General features: G+C 40.5%; 2 non-coding genes across 2 annotated transcripts, besides 1 other annotated feature; both read right to left on the reverse strand.

Moving 5' to 3' along the window:
- Window positions 1263-1342: a silencer, noted in NCBI's record as "silent region_17024". NCBI's record gives its function as "represses an Ori minimal core promoter by ATAC-STARR-seq in GM12878 lymphoblastoid cells {active_cell/tissue: GM12878}" and the evidence as "EXISTENCE:reporter gene assay evidence [ECO:0000049][PMID:35858748]".
- On the reverse strand, window positions 1267-1338 carry TRX-CAT1-5 (tRNA-iMet (anticodon CAT) 1-5). The gene has a single exon. It is a non-coding gene; the product is annotated as a tRNA-Met (tRNA).
- Window positions 3272-3344, reverse strand: TRK-TTT6-1 (tRNA-Lys (anticodon TTT) 6-1). The gene has a single exon. It is a non-coding gene; the product is annotated as a tRNA-Lys (tRNA).
- Between the last annotated feature and the right edge of the window lie 16198 nt (window positions 3345-19542).

Raw genomic sequence — 19542 nt, forward strand, 5'->3', positions numbered from 1 at the left:
ACATAGAGAGAAACCTTACTGCACAAACCAGAAAACGCCACTACATCTGTTTTGTTTTGTTTTTTGAGATGGAGTTTTGCTTTTGTTGCCCAGGCTGGAGTGTGGTAGCATGATCTCGGCTCACTGCAACCTGTGCCTCCCTGGTTCTAGCGATTCTCATGCCTCAGCCTACTGAGTGGCAAGGACTACAGGCATGCACCACCATACCTGGCTAATTTTGTATTTTTAGTAGAGACAGGGTTTCATGATGTTGGCCAGACTGGTCTCGAACTCCTGACCTCAAGTGATCCACCTGCCTCTGCCTCCCAAAATGCTGGAATTACCGGTGTAAGCCACTGCACTTGGTCTGCCACTACATTTGGGCAAGAGGTTGACCCCTTTACTCTCAAAGTAAAAGTCTGGTATTGTACCAACCAAGCCACATAGGTCCTAAGAAGATATGCTTATTCATATTGAGAAATGATTTTAGCACATATCACTAATGTTGACTGGTATTGTAAATGAATTATTGGACTCAGAAAAGACAGCTAAGGAGGTGGTTTGAATTCCATGGAGTCAATTCATTGAACAGAAGTGTATTCATGTACTCTGAACATTACTTGTATTCGCTAGTGAGCTGTTACCTGTTTGTTTTTCTTTCTTTTTTTTTTTTTTTTTTTTGCACTAAGTCTAAGAAATCAAACTGGTTTATATAGGATTAATGTAAATAGGATCAATACAACAGTCCTTACTCATTTACCTAAGATTTGTAAAAGGTAAGACTGAAGAGGTGGAACCAACTGATTGCCTTCAGCAAATAGTTATTGAACTTAACATTCGCACCCAAAAAAAGACTTTTCTGGTGACCAAGAAAAACAACAAAACTAATGACAAAGGCAGAGAGGTGGAGAGCAACTAGTTTAAAACAATAAAGTTATTATATGTTGTCAAATACTTATTAAAGCAAATAATTAATAAAGGAAGAGAATGTCCTGGCAATTAACAGAAGTAAATGTGGGTTTATACAACGTAGTAATAAAAAAGCATCTCAGCTGAGCGTATGCTTTTGTTTGTCCGACACCTGGGAGGAAAGGAATTTTCCAATGTAGGACGGTGTGGATCAGTGAAGTAGGTGAGTTTTGGGAGAATGGTGAGATTTCAAAGGTGGGAAAGAAACACATAACAAAGAGCAGAAGCAGAAATGAGGGTTTTCAGAAACTGTTGAATGCATGAAAACCTAGGGACTTGGTTTTTGTTTTTTGCGTGTCGATTTAGCTGTAAAACTCATAGCAGAGGATGGTTTCGATCCATCGACCTCTGGGTTATGGGCCCAGCACGCTTCCGCTGCGCCACTCTGCTAAGCGGTTTCTGAAGACCACTGATCTTAATTTCAATCATCAAAATCACCTTTCAGTACCGACAAAATTTTCATTGTCTAATTATTTCATTTTGTATCTGATCGTTTACACTGTCCCTATCTCTGCCAAGCAAGTCGAAGATTCGCTACCCGATAATCAGATGGCCTCAGGTCATAACCTCCAGATCTGTGCTTTTCCAACCTGCCAAAGATCGTCTGAGCCTCTTAGCAAGCACTCGTTTATCATAGCGAGCCTAGGAGGAGGGCGCCAAGCAAAACACTAGGTGTAGTCTTCTCGAGTAGAATCCAGGCAGTCGTGGAGCGAACGCAGCTGCCACCGGAGAGGAATCGTGTTAACAGTCTTATTTGTTTCTGTCAAAAAATTTCATAGACAACCGTAGAAGAGATGTTTTCCCCTTGATGCAGTAAAAATGATTAATTTTATTAAAGTTCAACTCGAGTTGTGTGTGTTCTGTGTGACGAAATGGGAAGTATACATAAAGGACTTCTGTTGCATACCTCAGCACAATGTTATCTCCCGAAAAAGCACTCCTCCAACTTATTCCGTTGCAAGCATAACTAGTGGCTTTTTCAGAAAACACCATTTTTATTTGAAAGAATGATTAAGAAGCTATGGTTATTAAGACTTGGTATTTGACAGACATGATTTTTTTTTTTTAATTTTTAATTAACCAAGTGAGCCTGCCACTTCAAGGAAAACAACTGACAGTATTTGTGACCAATGATAAGATTGGGGCTTTCTAGCAAAAAATTTGAATGTTGCAAAACTTGTATCCATTATCATGAGCTTGACAACTTCCAACTTCTGACTTTAATGAAATTGTTCGTGATAGCAGTGTAATTTTAAGAAGTTTAGTTGACAGTAAGTATTGTACGTATATATGGGATATAGAGTGATATTTCGATACATGTATAAATATGTAATGATCAAATGAGAGTTTTTTCATTTGCTTGCAAAGGCACAAGATTTTAAGCAAAACAAAAACGGTGCCCCTGAAATAAAGAGGATAAACCTGATGTGTAGCTCAAATTATTACATGACAGCTGCAATTTCGATTGGATCCCTTTTGGCGCCGTTTTGACAGAAACACGAAAAAATAATAATAAACTAATAAAGATAAGATCTTCCTCTTCTTGTAGCTTATATCAATCAGGGAACAGAGCTTTTAGGAAGTCCCTGAACACCAGCTCTCGTTTGTAGCTTCCTTTATGATGACGCTAGACAGGGTCATTCTGGAATATTGCAAATGTTTTATCATTAGTAATGTAAGCTTTTGGATGATGATGGAACATGGGCTAAGGCTAGCATGCTCGTATTTTTTTTTTCTCATTTACTCTATCTCCCTGTCCACACTAAGACTGAAGGACTGCCCTCTTTGATTTTCCTTGGTAAAGTGCTCGCCACTCGGGCTTGGAGCCCGAGGACTCTCATCGAATTGCTAGTCACATACACAATTAACCAACTTTTCTTTCACGAATTATTTCTGATGTCATGTCTAAGAACTCTTCAGGCAAGGAGCGATGTCTCACGCCTGTAATCCCAGCACTTTGGGAGGCCGAGGCGGGTGGATCGCCTGAGCTCAGGAGCTGGAGACCACCGAGGGCAACATGGTGAAACCCCGTCTCTACTAAAAATACAAAAAAATTAACCAGGTATGGTGGCGCGCGCCTGTAGTCCCAGCTACTTGGGAGGCTGAGGCAGGAGAATCGCTTGAGCCCCAGAGGCGAAGGTTGCAATGAGCCGAGATGGTGCCACTGCACTCCAGCTTGGGCTACAGAGTGAGACTCTGTCCCAAAAAAAAGATAACTCTTCACCTAGCCCTCTGTTCTCAAATCTTTGCTACTGGCTAAGGTCAAACTCAACTCATTTCTTGATGTTTCCTCACTCTAAGCAAGTAAAAGTTGCATTTTTAGCGCCTGGACAGGGACTTGAACCCTGGACCCTCAGATTAAAAGTCTGATGCTCTACCGACTGAGCTACCCAGGCTCCTTAGGGAACTGTTTCATACAGTTCTACAAATAGGATCAATGATTATCACGGTTCAGTGATCTTACATGCGAAAAGAGTAATTCAGTGGAAGTTCCACAGAATCAGTTCAACCACCATTCGTTTATGTTTTCTTCAGGTTGATAGAAAAGAAATGTAAGCAACATCAAAAAACCAAATTCTTATTTGTGTGGTTCGTGGAAAGAAAAATAAACAAGAAAACAACTGATTGCCCCTAATAAATATTTATGTAATGTTTAGTTAAATCCGTCAGCAGTGTCATATTTACTGCGCAACAAGAAATAACCAAAAAAGACACAAAGAGGAACAAAGAAACAATTAAAAAACAAAAACAAGAGAAGTGGGAAGTTGGCCGGGAGCGGTGGCTCACGCCTGTAATCCCAGCACTTTGGGAGGCCAAGGCGGGCGGATCACCTGAGGTCAGGAGTTCGAGACCGGCCTGGCCAACATGGTGAAACCGCCTCTACTAAAAATACAAAAGAAAAAAAAAAAAAGTAGCCAGACGTGGTGGTGCATGCCTGTAATCCCAGCTACTCAGGAGGCTGAGGCAGGAGAATTGCTTGAAGCCGGGGGGTGCGGAGATTGCAGTGAGCCAAGATCGCGCCACTGTACTGCAGCCTGGGTGATAGAGCGAGAATCCGTCTCAAAAAAAAAAAAAAAAAAAAAAAAAAAAGTGGGAAGCAACCAGTGGAAAGCAATGGTAAGAGCCTGACAAATCTCATAAAATCTCCCATTATTTTTTTCTTGGTGCAAGAAAAAAGCAAGTCATTAAAAAGGAAGAGAATGTCGTGGTGACTGTGATGGGCCTACTTTGTACTTTTCACTGCTCTGGGGTGTTCTTGCCTGTCTAAAAGAATTTTGACAAACGTGATACCTACCACAATTTTTTCAGTGGACATCTAACGTTTTTCATTAAGTTTAAATTTTTCTGAAGGATATAGTGACTTGTATCATAGGAATCTAAAAACCACAGTAATTTAATACTTACCAGCAACCTTTTAAAAGAGAGAGGTGAACATTGCTACCTCTTTAATTGTGGAAGATTTTACATTGATCCTTTATTTCTCTGCATTCATAGTGCCATTGCCTGTCTCTTATAGAATTTTTATCCCAGTACAATGTCATTTTGTAGTTTTTTCTTGATCTTTCTATGATACTTCTTTGGACCAAATATAGGTATAAATATTGAAGTCCATTGTTATTTCCTGTTACCCAAAATGTGTGTTAAAAATAGTTTTTCTGGATTGTGTTATATTTGCATCTACTGCTAGTACATAATCAAAACATAATAGGTAAATAACAATTTTAAAGCCCCTTTACTGAAAGGTGTAATGGAAGTCAATGTGGAATTTGTCATCCCCTTTCCTCCAAGAAATTGTACACAATATGCAAGTCCACCTCGATGGATGGAGGCTCTAACTTAGTATTCCCAATTGTTTCCATGTTGGGAGCTCGAGAGGAGAGAATTTTTAGGCCTGGAGCAATGTGTCATAGGCAAACAACTACCAGAAATTTATCAAGTGATATCTTTCCATGGAGTGCCATCACTGATTTGATTATCAGACTTTTAGGGAAAATACAGAAGTAGATTTAAACTCTGAGTTGCCTGTAGGCCAGGATGGTTTTGATCTCTCAGTCTCTGAGGTCATGAGCCCAGCAGGCTTCTACTGTGCCACGCTGCTTACGAATAGGTAGCACTGCTAATATTCCGTTCAATTTTTACTGTTTTTCCAACATGAAGATGGTTTCATTGTTTTCCTGAGTCTTTTTCATTCCTTCCTCCTTACTCACTCCTCCCTTTTTCTGCCTCTTTAAAATTGGCCCCTTCAAGAAGCAGGTGTCTTCAGTCCCTCCATCTCTACGCAGTCCCAATCTGTCAAATATTTGACCTTTGAAGTCCTTTCTTCAAAAGCTTCCTTGAGCTCAGAGGAGGAACTACAGAGAGAATCCAGGAGGAGCCCAGCAAGCAAAGCCCTCGGGAAACCCTGCTTGAGAAGAACCGGGGGAGCTATGGAATTAACACCTCTGCCTCAGGGAGCAAGTGTCTTAACCACCTCCTATCAAAAATCTCAAAGGGTTTTCTTTGCATGGAAGGGAGCCAGACTTTCAGAATTTCATTTCTGATTGGATAACGTTTGGATCCGTTTTGACAGGAACCAGGAGTTCCTGTGTTTGAAAACCGGAGCTTATTTCAGGCAACTGGGCTTTTGTTGAGGCTGCCTCTGAGTTGGTATGTTCTAGGAGTTACCTGACTATATGCCAAATAATTTTCTTCCACACAGAAGTGACTAGAAGCCACATAAATATTGCCCACCAAACCCCAATTTTAAATCTCTACAATTTAACTTTCCAAAAACTCCTGTAGTCGTTCCTCCGACAGAACAAGTGTGACAGAGAAGTTGAAGTGGAAGGGACAGTGAAATTCCTGATTGTTTCATGTCCTCTCTTGCTTGTGGACTTTGCAGTTGCATTTTCACTGGAGGGTCCTCCCCTTTTCTTATTTGCCAGTTCCTACTTGTCCTTCAGATCTCAGTTTAGACATAACCCATTACCTCTTTCTGAAAGTTTTTGCTGACTCCCCAAGAGTGGTTTTAGAAGCTCCTGGAATATACACAGGATTCCTGAGATTATTTTAGTTATATTAATAGTACTTACTATTATATGCATAAATTAAATGATCGCTTACCTGATCCTACCCTAAATATTAGCATACTCAGGGCTCAGTCCTTAAATACCATATATATACAAATGCTTCTTTCCATCTTGGAATGCTGCTTCACACACCAGACTCGCTACCTTTTTTTTTTTTTTTTTGGGGGGACGGAGTCTTGCTCTGTGGCCCAGGCTGGAGTGCAGTGGCACGATCTCAGCTCACTGCAACCTCCCCTGCCTCCCAGGTTCCAGCGTTTCTACTGCCTCAGCATCCTGAATAGCTGAGATTACAGGCACATGACACCACACTCAACTAATTTTTGTATTTTTAGTAGAGATGGAGTTTCACTATATTGGCCAGGCTGGTCTCAAACTCCTGACCTCAGGTGATCCACCCACCTCGGCCTCCCAAAGTGCTAGGATTACAGGTGTGAGCCTTGGTGCCTGGTCTGCAGCTGCTTTTTTGACAAGCATTTTTTACCTTTCAAAAAAATAAACTCCTGGTTATTCTTCCAGGCTTGCTTCTCAAGAATCTTCCCCATCTCAATAAACAGCCAGTCCATCCGTGCTATCATCTGTGATTGCTCTTTCCTTCAGATCCTATATCCCATCAGCTCTACCTTCAAAATATATCCATAACCTAACCATTTTTTTTTTACCACTTCCATTGCTACCATGCTAGAAAATCTATCATCACATCTCACACAGATTTTCACAATATGCTCTTCACTGGTCTCCCTGCTTCTATTTATCACCGCCCTCTTACTATGTATTCTAAATGCAGCAGCAGTGCCTCTGTTCAAGACTCTCCCAGGGTTCCCTTCTCATTCAATTTAATAGCCAAAGTGCTTCTAGTGGCCTGTGAGGGCTCTTCTCCCTGTTCTTCCCCTCTAGCCACAAGACCCCCTTGCTCTTCCTCAAATGTCAGGCATACTCCTGCCTCAGGCCTTTGCACTTGCTGTTTGCCTGGAAACTCCTTTTCCCAAATATGTGCCCTGTTCCTCTCCTTATCCCCTTTAGGTCTTTTCTTAAATATCACTTTCTCAGTGGGGACTTCTCCTGTTCGACATCTTTAAAAATACAAAACATTGAAAAAAAAAAAAACACCAGCCATTGCTATTATCTTTCCTGCTTTATTTTTCTAAGTAATGCTTATCACTATCTAGTATATTACATATTTTACTTATTCATTTCATTTCTTTGCATTTCACGTTAGAATACAAAATCCATGAGGAGAGGAAGTTTTGCCCATTTTATTCACAGCCATAGCCCCAGTGCCCAGCAGAGTACTTGTGATGTAGCAGCTACTCATTAATAATTTGTTAAATAAATGGTTCACCAGAGTACAAGGAAACACTCAATACATAAGTTTTTCCTGAAAGGGGACAGGAATGGTCTGTTCATTGCTAAATGTTCTGAACTCTGTTTGTATAGCTCCCTGTTGTGATTATGTGTGTAAACCTGACCAAATTGCTAACCACAGGGCTGTTTAATCACATTGATCCACCATGCTGGTCAGTGCTTGTATGAGAAGTTAAAGCTTGACCCTGCAGTAGGACTAAGCATCTGAGACTTACAGTCCCATCTGGGGAGCTGCAGGTATTGATCCGCGTAATCCCTAATTCTTTCCAAACCTTTTCTCTGTCCAGAAACAAACACTGACTCCTGAGCTCCTGGCTCCTAAGAATGAAGATAACACATGAAGCCTTGAGGGAGTGGGAATCTGTTCTAAGAAGACATACTTTTCTCTGAGGTCTCTTATAGGGCTTTAAGAGATTTTGTTTGTTAATTTGGCTTATATTTTGAAAAGGTAATACACTCACAGAGTTTAAAAGACAAATAAATAGTTACAGTGAAAAGTTTCCTCCCATCCGTCACCTACCTACTTGGTTTCTACCCTTTCCTTCATCCTCCAGAGGTTTCTGCTATTATTAATTTCTTGTCTATTCTTCTTTATCTACTTGCATATAAATACAAATATAGATTCATATGTTCTGGACCTTGCTTTTGATACTTCACAATATATTTTGGAACTCTTTCCACATTAATATATAAAAAGCTTCCGTGTTTATGTTTTTCTATTGTGAAATATACAGAGAAGTAAATAAGACCTACGTGTAGAGCTTTGAAAAGTAGTTTTACAGTGTACACATGTTTAACCATAACTCAGGATAAATAGAGCAACGCTGTCATGCCTCTTCCATTCACAACCTCTGCCTTGCACACTCTCTTCACTCCCACAGAAAATCACAATCCTGACTTATGGTAATCATTTATTTACATTCTTTTTTTTTGTTTGTTTTTTTGAGACAGAGCCTCTCTCTGTCGCCCAGCCTGGAGTGCATTGGGGTGATCTCAGCTCACTGCAACCTCCGCCTCTCAGGTTCAAGTGATTCTCATGCCTCAGCCTCCCGAGTAGCTGGGATTATAAGCACACACCACCACATCCGGCTAATTTTTGTATTTTTAGTAGAGACAGGGGTTCACCTCGTTGGCCCGGCTGGTCTCAAACTCCTGACCTCAGGTGATCTGCCAACCTCGGCCTCCCAAAGTTCTGGGATTACAGGCATGAGCCACTGTGCCCAGTCCATTTATTTACATTTTAATACATTTTACCACCTACACATATATCCCTGAACAATACAACATAATTTTGTTTGGTTTGAAATTTACATAAGTATAATCATACTTTCTTTTTGTGTCGCCTTTTCACAAAATTATTTTTATAAGATTCATTCATATTGTACATATCTCTGACCTGTCCGTTGTCATTGTTGACTTGCATTCAACACTATCCAATTTCTGTAAATGAGCACGCAGGTTGTTTCTAGTTCTTGGTTATACAAACAATACTACTATGAACATTCTCGTACATATTTGCACATGTGCAAACATTTCTCTTGGATATATATCTAGGATAATTGGATATGTATATCCTTAACTTACTGAATAATATCCAACTGTTTTCTAAAGTGGTTTTATCAATTTAGATTCTCAGTAGTAGTGATGAAAGTTCTTACTACTTGGGCCGGGAGCAGTGGCTCACGCCTGTAATCCCAGCACTTTGGGAGGCCAAGACGGGCGGATCACCAGGTCAGGAGATCAAGACCATCCTGGCTAACACGGAGAAACTAAAAATACCAAAAATTAGCCGGGCGTGGTGGCTGGCGCCTGTAGTCCCAGCTACTCGGGAGGCTGAGGCAGGAGAATGGCGTGAACCCGGGAGGCGGAGCTTGCAGTGAGCCGAGATGGCGCCACTGCACTCCAGCCTGGGTAACAGAGCGAGACTCCGTTTCAAAAAAAAAAGAAAGTTCTTACTACTTCACATCCTTACCAATAATGATTACTTTTTGTCTTTTTAATTTTAGCAATTCTGGTAGAAGATCAGTAGTATCTAATTACAGGATTAATTTGCAATTTCCTAATTTCTAATACGGGTGATTGCTGTAGTTGTTTTAAAATATGTCCACCAATTATTTGGCATTCTGCCCATCAAAAGGTAGAGTCTAATTCCCCTCTCTTTGACTATGGAGTGGAATTAATGACTTGCTTTTAACAAAAAGAGTGAAGCAGAAGTGACACCATTCCTGAAATCGCAGACTAAATGATAAAAGGCAAAATACCTTCTGCCTGATGCATTCACATATTCATTCATCCCCAATCTCTCTCTCTCAGCTTGTCCTTGAGATCTGGCCACCATGTTGCAAGGAAGCCAAGCAGCAGTGTGGAGAGCCTACATGTAGCTGATCCTATCAGAGTCCAAATTCAGGTTATAGCCAACAGCCAGAATCAACCTTCAGACATTTAATTGCTGGAATCTTCAGATAATTTGAGCCCAACTTCAAGCAGCCATAGCTCATGCACAGTGAATCAAAGACAAGCTGACCCCATGGCACTCAGATCTAATTGCAAGTTTGTGAACAAAATAAATGTTATACTAAGCCACTGACTTTTAGAGTGGTTTGTTTCATAACTAATATATAAACAGAACTTTTTTTTCTTTTTTTTTTTTTGAGACAGAGTCCCACTCTTTCGCCTAGGCTGGAGTGCAGTGGCGCGATCTCGGCTCACTGCAAGCTCCGCCTCCCGGGTTCTCACCATTCTCCTGCCTGAGCCTCCCAAGAAGCTGGGAGTACAGGTCCCGCCACCATGCCCGGCTAATTTTTTTGTATTTTTAGTAGAGACGGAGTTTTACAGTGTTAGCCAGGATGGTCTCGATCTCCTGACCTCGTGATCCGCCCGCCTCGGCCCCCCCAAAGTGCTGGGATTACAAGCGTGAGCCACCGCACCCAGCCAACAGAACTATTAACTTTCAATGTGACCATTTTGGATCTCATCTTGTGGGAAGTCTCTGTTTTTCCCCATTTTTCTATTGAATTGTCTATATTTTTCTCATGGACTGATACAAGTTCTTTATATATTCTGTGTTTTCATGTCAATTCTGGGTAAATTATTTATATTGCAAATAACTTCTCTGACCTGTGACTTTCAGTTTCTTTTGATGAATATAGTTCTTTATTTTATTTATTTATTTATTTATTTATTTATTTATTTATTTACTTACTTACTTACTTTGAGATGGAGTCTCACTCTGTTGCCAGGCTGGAGTGCAGTGGCATGATCTCGGCTCACTGCAACCTCTGCCTCCCAGGTTCAAGTGATTCTCCTGCCTCAGCCTCCTGAGTAGCTGGGACTACATGCGCCTGCCATCACACTAGGCTAATTTTTATATTTTTAGTAGAGATGAGGTTTCACCTTGTTGGCCAGGATGGTCTCGATCTCTTGACCTCGTGATCCGCCTGCCTCAGCCTCTCAAAGTGCTGGGATTACAGGAACGAGCCACCGCACCCGGCCTATTTCATTTATTCTTAACTTACAAATTTAATGTCATTGAATTCATCTTTTCCCCTAATATTTAGTATCATTATGTGTTGTTCCTTGTTTAAGAAATCCTCTCCTATCCAAAAGTCCTGTGGATATTTTCTATATTCTCTTCTAAATGCTGCACCTGAAATTTTGATGTGTGTGATATATTTTCCATAAGGATATCTAATTATGTCAGCATGATTTACTGAATAGTTCTTTCTTTTCTTACACTTCTACAGTATCCCATTTATTATCCACCAAATGTGCTTTTTTTTTTGTTGGTCCATTGGTCCATTTGTCCATCCTTGTACCGATACCACACTGTCAGTTTACAAAGCTTTAAATGAAGTTTTCACACAGGGTTGAACAAGTTTTCTCTTAGTTCCTTCTTCATCAAGAATGTTTTAGCTATTCTTGGCTCTTTACATTTTCATTAAAATATTTAGAAAAGCTTATTAAACTCAATAAAATTTTGAGATTTTAGTTGGAGTTACATTAATCTATTAATTTTAGATGAACAGATATTTAACAATATTGTAGGATTTTACAACTCATGAATATGTACTTTTGTTTCTCTAAGTCTTTTTTTTTTTTTTTTTTGAGATGGAGTTTCGCTCTTGTTGCCCAGGCTGGATTACAATGGTGCGATCTTGGCTCCCTGCTACCTCTGCCTCCTTGGTTCAAGCGATTCTCCTGATTCAGTCTCATGAGTAGCTGGGATTACAGGTGCATGCCACTATGCCTGTCTAACTTTTGGTAATTTTTTAGTAGAGACAGGGTTTCACCATGTTGGCCGGGCTGGTCTCGAATGCTTGACCTTAGGTGATCCACCCACTTCGGCCTCCCAAAGTGCTGGGATTCCAGGCATGAGCCATCGCACCCAGGCCTCATTATTATATTGTATAATTACAATAATAATAAAATACCCACAAAGTATCTGGCACTTTATATCATCTCATTTAACCCCTAATGAAACTCTGTGTAGGTAATCATGCATATTTTACAGATGAAGGAACTACCTCTGAGAGGTTATATTAACTGACCAAAAGTTACTCAGTTGTCAAGTGGAGAAACTGGTGCCCTTAACCATTTTTTTTTTTTTTTGAGATGGAGTCTCACTCTGTTGCCCAGGCTGGAGTGCAATGGCCGGGTCTTGGCTCACTGCAACCTCTGCCTCCTGAGTTCAAGCAATTCTCCTGCCTCGGCCTCCCGAGTAGCTGGGACTACAGGTCCGTGCCACCACACCCGGCTAATTTTTGTATTTTTGGTAGAGATGGAGTTTCACCATGTTGGCCAGGCTGGTCTTGAATTCCTGACCTTGGGATCTGCCCGCCTCAGCCTCCCAAAGTGCTGGGATTACAGGCGTGAGCCATCGCGCCTGGCCTGCCCTTAAACATTTTCTATACTGCTTCTCGCAAATGTGCATTCCATTTAAGATAATGGATATACTCTTCAACATTATCCTGTTGGGGGGGTCCACCAGATTGAGTCTGGTTAACAAGTTTCATGTCTGTAATAGACTGAAGGGAACTGACTTTGATTTCCAGGTAAGTTAGAGTAAAACAAATGCTCCAACGTCCCTGACAGATTTGGGTGGAGAGTACGTGGGTACTTAAGAAAGCAACAAACCTTCACCTTTCTTGAAGCATGATTTAGATTTCCTTTGTAATATGTTTGCTTTGGAGGTGCTCGTATTCGGCTTGCTGCCCAGATTTGGGCACATCACTTGGGAAGAAAGGTCTATTAATAGTTGATAATTTAAGATTAAGCTCAAAACCACGTTTTGGGAAAAGGCCAATCTCCCACATCTTGAACATGGCTGTACCTTCTGAGCATGTACCTGCCCCATAGAGGCACTTTCTCTCAGCCTTTTCACTTCTCCAAAGATTGTGCTAACCTACTGGGACATCTAACCTACCAACCTACCCTCCTGCCTGAATTCATGATCGATGAATTTATGATGAAACCAGATCATTTTCTTTTCACACATCACCACACCCAGCTAATTTATATATTTTTTTTGTAGAGACAGGGTTTTGCCATGTTGCCCAAGCTGGTTTCAAACTCTTGAGCTCAAGTTTTCCACCCTCCTCAGCCTCCCAAAGTGCTAGGATTATATGCATGAACCAATGCACCCAGCTGAAACCAGGTCATTTTCTATTGAAATGTAACTGGTAAGAGATACAATCAATTTAAGACCTCTGCTGACTGCTTATTATCATGCTTCCCTTTAAAGCCATTTGAAACTTTCCTTATTCTCATCACAGGCACATGAGGTAATATGACTCATTTATGGTCAATGGAATATATATTAAAATATTGCACAAAACCTGTAGGTCATGCCTCTAATGGGAAAATGTCATCTTTCAATTCCTGCCAGCTTGAAAACAGGCAAGATGCCTTAACCTCAAAATGGAAGCATAGGTTGAAGATGATGGAGCAATGAGATTGCAAGATCCTATGTTCCTGCTATTATGGACTTCTTATATCTGTGAATTCTGGGTGGCTTATGTCCTTAGACTTTGTGTAACCACTGATATTCTGAGTCTAAGACATATTCCTATATACTAACAACCTCTGAGTACAGAGCCAAACCTGAATGGAAATCAAGTAGGTATAACAAATAACCTCAGTATATTAAAACATGCATGTAAAGAGAAATGGAAGAAGTTATTTTACATTAATAAAGACTAACAGGCTCCTCTCATAAACAGGAAAAACCAAATTGATACTTCATGAAGACCAAACCAACTAAGTGATTCACTATTTCAATGGGAGAGTTATTTCCAAAGTTATTTTTGAATAAGCTATGGAAGAACATGCCAGAATAAATTATGCATGAAGGTCCAGTATCCATAGCTGGAGTTTGGTGGTCAGTTGCTAGAGATAATTGAGCATATCAAGTTAAAAAATTCCAAGACAGTTGTGTTAAGTATAGGAGTTAGAAATTATTATGGAGACCGACATCTATTGTCTTAGTTTATTCAGGATGCTATAACAAAATACCTTAGACTAGGTAATTTATAAACAACAGAAATGTATTGTTCACAGTTTTGAGGGCTGGAAATTTCATTCAAGATCAAGGTGCCAGCAGATTTGGTGTCTGATGAGGGCTTGCTCTCTGCTTGATAGATGATGCCTTCTATGTGTCCTTGCATGGCCCAAATGGCAAACAAGCTCCCCCAGGCTTCTTTTATAAAAGGAATAATTTTATTCATGAGGGTGTAGCCTTCATTAACTGATTATCTCTCAAAGGATACAGCTCTTAATACCATCACATTGGGGATTAGGTTTCAACATATGAATTTTGTATGGATGCAAACATTCGGACCATACCATTTCTGTACCTTAGTTGTCTATTTAAAGAAATAAAAGATTGCTGGATAGCATCAACTTTGATTTGAGTAATCACTGTAAATTTTGATTTAATTCATTTTAAATATATATATAAGTATATATATTTAAATATATAAATATATATATAAGTATATATATTTAAATATATAAATATATAGTGAAAGGTAGATGTGGTTATATATTTGTGGGTTGAACCAAACAGTTCTAAGACTCATCTTGCAAACCAAATAAAGTGCATGCCTTCCTTATGCTCTTGTTATTACAGAACTCACTTTCAGTCAATGTTACTAAAGCATCCTCCCTTATGCAGTTAATATTACAACACTCTTCCTGGGTCAATGAAAATTCACTGAGCATCTACTAAATCTCTACTTTTACCTAGCTTCTGTGAAGTTCTAAAACTCTAACGTATGGATCCTACCCTCAAAGAACTTGTTACTGAACATCACAGTACCAATACGTACTAAACACCATGAGAATATACACTACAGAAATTCAAAAAAAGAAGAGATGAGTGTTGAATGGAGCTGATGAAGGCAAATAATAATAAACTAAAACTATGTATGTGCTAGGCCGGCCATGAGAAGCTTGAAAGAGGTAGGAGTAAGAAAAACAAAGGAGGATATTCCAGTTGCAGTTAGCACATGGTAAAAGTGTTGGGAAGTAGGAGTGAAAGTGACTGAAATGTGTTTCAGTGAGTAGGATGGTATTTGCTGTATGGGGAATTCAGTAAATGAATTTTCTCAGGTTGAAACAGCAACAACAAAAAAGCCATATGATTATAGGTGCATGACAATCTTACATTTAACTAATATTAATACTTTAAAAATCCATTGCATAATAATTCACTACAGTATTCTTATATTCCAAGACCATCAAATTTGCTTAGTTATCAAGTTCCATTTTTTTTTTAAAAAAAGTTTCTTTGCATATAAAACAATACATGTGCACTAAGATTGGAAAATAAAATGATAACCAATAAAATCCCACATTTTGTTGCATATAATTCGAGTGATTATATAAATTATTTATATATATACACACACACTGTACTTAGTTTTAACCTTTTTTTGCTTTATATTAATTTTTACTAAATATTCTATATTATTATTTTTAAAGATTCTATAATATTCCAGCTTATTTAACCAATTTCCCACTGTGAAACACAAATTGGTTGTTTCTAGCTTTTCATCCATGTAGCAAAGTTAAATTAATAATCCTTGTTGTGGCCAGGGGCAATGGCTCATGTCTATAATCCTAGCACTTTAGTAGGCTGAGGAGGGCGGATTGCTTGAGTCCAGGAGTTTGAGACCAGTCTGGGCAAAATGGAAAAAGCCTATCTCTACCAAAAATAAAAAAATTAACTGAGCATGGTGGCACATGCCTATAGTCCCAGCTATAGGCCCAGCCTCCCTGGGAGACTGAGGTGGGAGGGTCACCTGAGCCCAGGGAGGTCAAGACTGCAGTGAGCTGTGATTGCACCATTGCACTCCAGCCTATGAGACAGACTGAGACTCCATCTCAAAAAAAAAAAAAAAAAAAAAAAAAATCCTCATTAAGAGGGGGCTTCAAGATCCCTGACTAGAGGCACCCAGCACTTGCCTCTTTACACAGAAGGATTAAAACAGTGAGTAGATAACAACATATAAAATAACAGCTTCTAAGAGGGAACACTGGAATTCAGCAGGGAAGTGACAGGGAACCTCTGAGGCATGAAAGAAGAGGGAAGGAAAGCAGCTGGCCAAGCTGGATCAGCTCAGAGCCAGGAGGAAGTCCCCATTGCAGGAGGAGTAGGGGAAAGTAAGGGAGAGAATGCCAACAGTCGGTATTCCCACCATGGACTCCTGGAATCCTAACCAGCCACAAGAGAGCCCCTTGGCCCTCACAGGCCCTGAGACTTGTATAGGGAGCTGCCTGGAGTCCACACAATGGCATTGTTCCACAGGAGTTTGTGCTGGGTCCCACCAAGCTTCTGAGACCCAAGCAGTTGCAGCATGGTACTATATTGAGAGCCCAGCCCCCGCTGGACTACATCCTGCCCTGGGACTCCACAGCCCCCGCATCTCCACATCCCTAAAGCCCTGCTAACATACTCTCATGCCCACCCAGAGGGCTTCAGTGTCACTATGCTGGATGGATCCAGCAGTGCAGCCAGGTCCCCAGCACTGTTGTTCACAGTGTCTTACACCCTGGGAAGTGGGCAGTGCAACAAACTAGAGAGAGTGACCCCAGAATAAAAGGAGCGGAACCATGTACTCCCTAGATCATGAAAGCCACCTACTTAGGGCTGCTGCCACTGACAGCAACCCTATCTCCTTCAGGGCTGGGGCACTACACATCTGCATGTACCTTCAAGGGCCCTGAGGAATGGTCAACCAACATACTGTTTTGGGGCCTGAGGACAGGCCAACTCCAACTGTTGCCAACAGTGCCTGAGTGCACCATCTATAGGCCTGTGTATCAAACTGCCGTGCCTACTGCAACTGGTGGTGATGTGTGCCATCCAGGGGCCTGAGGACAGGTCTACCCAGCTGACCACCACCACCACTGGTGCCCAAGCATGTTATCTAAGGGTCTGGAGATTGACCCACCCTGCCTGTCAGTGCTGTCCATGCAAGCTGTCTGGAGGCCTGGAGATAGGCCTACCTTGCCCACCACTACTGGCATACATGTGTGCCATCCAGAGGTGTAAGACATGCACATTTCATCTTCTGCCAGTGTCCACATATGCCTCCCAGGGGCCCAGGGACTAGCCCACCCAGCCTGCCACTACCACAGCCACTGGCAGTCACCCACATGTGCCACCCAGGGCCCTGGAGACTAGATTACCTGGTCTGCTGGTGCCACTGCTGGTGCCACATGCATTGCTTGGGGTCCAAAGATTGGTCTACCATCATTGCCACTAGTGACCCCACGCACACCATGTGAGGGCCCAAGGACCTGCCCACCTAGTCCACTGCTGCCACTGCTAGCACCCAAGCAAGCCAGCTGGAGGCCCAAACACTGGTCCACTCAAGGGCCCATGAACTGGCACACCCAGCCCACTGCCACCAACACTGGTGCTGAAGGACCAGCCCACCTGGCATTCCATCCCTTGCAAAGCCTCACCACAGCCTTCATTAACAACTGCAACATAAGCCACTGAGAAAATCATAGACATTACTGACACTGATTATAGCCATAGAAACTATACTACTGTGCCCATCTAGAATCAACACCAACGCACGATACCCAACCAACAATACAGATAGCCTTTAAAGGAAAAAGTTTTTTTCCCTACAAAAGGCAATCCACAAAATTGGAAGAAGTGACTGTTACTCCAGATGCACAGATATCGACGTGGGCATGAGAAACATAAAAAAAGCAAGAAACATGACATCTCCAAAAGAAAACAGTAATTATTCAGTAATAGTTATCAATGAAAAATCTTTGAAATGCCTAAAAAAAATTAAAATAATGATATTAAAGAAACTCAGTGAGGTTGGACGCGGTGGCTCATGCCTGTAATCCCAACACTTTGGGAGGCTGAGGCGGGTGGATCATGAGGTCAGGAGATCAAGACTATTCTGGCTAACATGGTGAAACCCCGTCTCTACTAAAAATACAAAAATTAGCTGGGCATAGTGGCACATGCCTATAATCCCAGCTATTCAGGAGGCTGAGGCAGGAGAATTGCTTGAACCTGGGAGGCAGAGGTTGCGGTGAGCTGAGATTGTGCTATGCACTCTGGCCTGGGCGACAGAGCGAGACTCCATCTCAAAAAAAAAAAAAAAAAAAAGATGAACAATACAGAGGAATCAGAATAACAGTTAATTACCTGAATGAGAAATTCAATAAAGAGATATCATAAAAAGGAACCAAACAGAAATCCTGGAATTCAATGACTAAAATTGAAAATACAATCAAGGGCTTCAACAACAGATCAAGTCAAGCAGACAAAATAATTTCTGAACTTGAAGACGGGTCCTTTGAAATAACCCAGCACACCAAAAAAATAAATAAATAAAATTAAAAAGAATGATAAGTCTACATAATGTATGGGACACCATAAAGTGACCAAATATTTGAATTCTGGGAATTCTAAGAGGAGAAAACATGGAAAGAGGCACAGAAAACCTATTTAATAAAATAATATCTGAAAAATTCCCAAGTCTTGAAAGAGATATAGATAACTAGGTACAAAAAGAACAAAGATCCCCAAATAGACTGAACCCAAGGCAGGTTATAGTCAAATTGTCAAAAGTCAAAGACAAAGAATTCTAAGAACAGCAAAAGAAAAGCATCGAGTAACATAAAAGGGAATCACCATCAGACTAACAGGGAATTTTTCTGTGGAGAAATTCAGGAGAGAATGGGATAAGAAATTCAAAGTGCTGAAAGGGAAAAGAAAATCCAAAACTGTCAGCCAAGTCTACCATACCCAGCAAAGCTATCCTTAAAAATGTAGAATAAAGAAAGTCTTTCCCAGACAAGCAAAAACTGAGGGAACTCATCAGTCCTAAAGAAATGCTTAAGGGAATCCTACATCTGAAAACAAAAGGACACTGTCTACCATCAGGAAAACACAGAGAAGTATAAAACTCACTTGTAGAATGGATAGACAAATGAGAAGGGAGTCAAAGTTACCACTACAAAAAAAATTGTAAAGGTAAAGAATAAAAGAGAAAGGAACAAAGAATATACAAAACAATCAGGACACAACAAACAAAATGGCAGGAGTAAGTCCTCGCCTATCAATAATAACCTTGAATGTACATAGTTTATATAATTATATAATGATGAAGGGATAAATTCAGCAAAAGGACCTAACAATTGTAAATATATATGCACCCAACACTGGAGCACCCAGATGTATAAAGCAATTATTATTAGAGCTAAAGAGAGAGATCTTAATAAAATAATAGTTTGGGACTTCAACATCTCACTTTCATCACTGGACAGATCATCCAGACAGAAAATCAACAAACATTGGACTTAATCTGCACTACAGACCAAATGGACCTAACACAACATTTACAGAACATCTCGTCCAACAGTTGCAGAACACATGTTCTTCTCATCAGCATCTGGAACGTATGGTCTCCAGGATAGACCACATGTTAGGCCACAAGACAAATCTCAACACATTTTTAAAAGTCAAAATATCAAGTATCTTTTCAGACCACAATGCAATAAAACTAGAAATCAATAACAAGGGGAATTTTGGAAACTAAAAATACATGGAAATTAAACATGCTCCTGGATTACCATTGGGCCAGTGAAGAAATTAAGAAGAAAAAAGATTTCTTGAAATAAATGAAAA

Source organism: Homo sapiens, chromosome 6, assembly GCF_000001405.40.
Source record: "Homo sapiens chromosome 6, GRCh38.p14 Primary Assembly".
Lineage (NCBI taxonomy): Eukaryota > Metazoa > Chordata > Mammalia > Primates > Hominidae > Homo > Homo sapiens.